The sequence below is a fragment of the Homo sapiens genome, chromosome 11, assembly GCF_000001405.40.
Source record: "Homo sapiens chromosome 11, GRCh38.p14 Primary Assembly".
NCBI classification, from domain to species: Eukaryota; Metazoa; Chordata; class Mammalia; order Primates; family Hominidae; genus Homo; species Homo sapiens.
The window spans coordinates 123,975,710-123,978,234 of NC_000011.10; the positions used below are offsets into that span (position 1 = coordinate 123,975,710).

Here is a 2,525-nt window from a genome sequence, read left to right on the forward strand (position 1 = left end):
AATTCTTTAGGTTGGCATTCAAGGACATTTTCATCTTATAGAATAGGTTAGGTGAATACAACACAACTCCTTCCTCTTGTATGGTAAGCTGGTTTAACTAAAACCTTGAGTTATCTTTTATAATTTTGAAGTCTAGAAATGCCCTTTCTTTTGTAGTTGCCCTATAAACTCAATGAAGATATTAAAACCTTGCTAATCTTTCAGAAACAATTTGAACCTTAGCTTGTATCATAAGCTCTCTTTGATTTCTTCAACCAGCTTGGTAAGAAACATGAGCGCCTATTTTACATGACACTTAATATAACTATTTTATTTAGACCTCATAATATCCTACAAAGCAATTATTTTAAATCTTACTCTTAAAAGTGGAGACTAAAACTGCAATTATGACATCTGTACAAAATTCTACAACTAGACCTGGTTGGATCAGTATTAGAATACTGGTAGGTTCAATTGACACCAAAACCCATGTTATTTCTATCTCTCAATGTGGCCTAAAGTATATACTACCATGAGTGGGAGAATAAAGAAAATGTGACTTTCTAAGTCACCTTGGACAATCACTTTTCTCCTTGTATTTTATCATTTTAAAAAATGTGGTTTCTAAGCTGGGAAATATGTATACAAAGGTTTTTTCATTGCCTTTTATATTTTTGTTTACAGTATTCTGTATGTATTTAATAAAGTTATTTCATAAAAAGTAAAACAATCATTTACTAATACAAATGAGGATACGAATAGCATTTCACATACCTCTGAACCATAGAACATAGATTTTGGAGAGACTCTAGACATCATCTAATCCAGCCTCCTCATTTTCTAGATGAAGTGTTTGCAAGGGAGAGAGTGAGGTAGACCATTTGGCCAAAGCTGGGGGAAAGTGTGTGACTGAGTTGCAACTCAGTTATTCTGATTTCCACCTGAATGATTTGAGATGTGAATAGTTGCTTTCCTGGCAGGCAAATTGTGAGTTTTGATAGCACAGACTATGGGGGTGGGCTGCCTGCTGTAGACTCTCGGAAGCTGCTGCACAAAAGCCTTTGCAGAGCATGCTTCACCTCCTTGTTCCGCAAAGTGTAAATGAATGGGTTGAGCATTGGAGTTACGATTGTGTAGAAGACAGCAGGGGCCCCAGCTCCTGCCTCACTGGAGCGAGGCTGCAGGTAGATACAGACAGGTGGCACGTAGTACAGGAGCACCCCAGTGAGCTGGGCAGTGCAGGGGGAGAAGGCCCGCTGCCGGCCCTGGGCTGTGCGGATGCGCAACACAGCTGCCACGATGAAGATGTAGGAAATAACGATGAGGATGAGGCAGCCTGCAGCCACGATGCCAATGCTGGCAAGCATGACTAGCTCATTAATGGTGGTGTCTGTACAGGCGAGCTTTAGGACAGGGGGTATGTCGCAGAAGAAGTAGGCAATGTGGCAAGGCCCACAGTAGAGCAGGCGGAAGGTGAGGGAGGTGTGGATTGCAGCGTGCGTGGCACCTATGGCCCAGGTGATTCCAGCCATTTCTGCACACATCCTTCTGTTCATGGCCACTGGGTAGTGCAGGGGTTGACAGATAGCCAGATAGCGGTCATAGGCCATGACTGTGTACAGGAAGCACTCAGTGCTGGCCAGAAAGTGGAAGCAATAAAGCTGTACGGCACAGCCCTCAAAGGAGATCACCTTCCCATCCAGAGTCAGCAGGCCTGCCATGACCTTGGGCACTGTCACTGTAGACAAACAGGCATCCAGGAAGGAGAGGTGCCCCAGGAAGTGGTACATGGGTAAGCTGAGGTGAGAGTCAGAGCCCACAGTTAGGAGGATGAGGAGATTCCCAGCCACAGTGATGCTGTAGATGAGGAGGAAGAGGAGGAAGAAGAGGCTAGAATGTTTAGCGGTGTACCTCAAACCCTCCAGGAAGAAGTGGCTCACCACAGTCTGGTTGGGGTTCTCCGTTGTCATGGTCATCTTCTCACACACAGAGCGGCTAGTCATCCCCTTTGCAACAAAACTGACATTAATGGAATAAATAGCTGTATCCCTTTCCTGAGATGTCATTATCCATCAAGCCACACCACCTTGGTCTTACCCAGTAAGCAAGAGAAAGATGTACAAGTTCATCTTACAGTTTTGTTCTGCTCTAGTCTAGTGCTTCCTTGCTGTTTATTTCTTCATAATGAATCTTTCAATACAAAATCTGCAGTTTTGGTGAGGTATATAAAGGACTGTAAGAATTATTTGCAGAAATGCACTCCCTAAATAATGACAATAAAAATATGGATTATAAATCCTACTCTCAATGAGTATTTTTTGCAAATATTCCAGAATTGTGATGCCTCTGCCCTCCTACTCTATGTACCCTGCCATGCTGTAGATGTAGAAAGGCAGGTTCTTATTGCTGTGTCATCAGGGAGATGCATCCTATTTTCAGGTGAGACTTGCCTGGAGTTTTGGTGCTATTACATCAGCCAGAAACACAGCAGCCCCACCCATTACTCAACCAGAGGAGTTCTTTGGAATTTCAGTTACCCACAATCC

General features: G+C 43.4%; 1 protein-coding gene across 1 annotated transcript; it reads right to left on the bottom strand.

Annotated features, from left to right (window-relative positions):
• Positions 1–951: 951 nt before the first annotated feature.
• Positions 952–2,072, bottom strand: OR10S1 (olfactory receptor family 10 subfamily S member 1). The gene has a single exon (NM_001004474.2). It carries the CDS (start codon positions 1,953–1,955, stop codon positions 987–989), a length of 969 nt encoding a protein of 322 aa, NP_001004474.2. The 5' UTR covers positions 1,956–2,072; the 3' UTR covers positions 952–986.
• Positions 2,073–2,525: the final 453 nt, after the last annotated feature.

What these genes read in the sequence shown, in the direction of transcription:
- OR10S1 (NM_001004474.2), bottom strand. Translation starts at nt 1,955, where the DNA reads ATGACCATGACAACGGAGAACCCCAACCAGACTGTGGTGAGCCACTTC.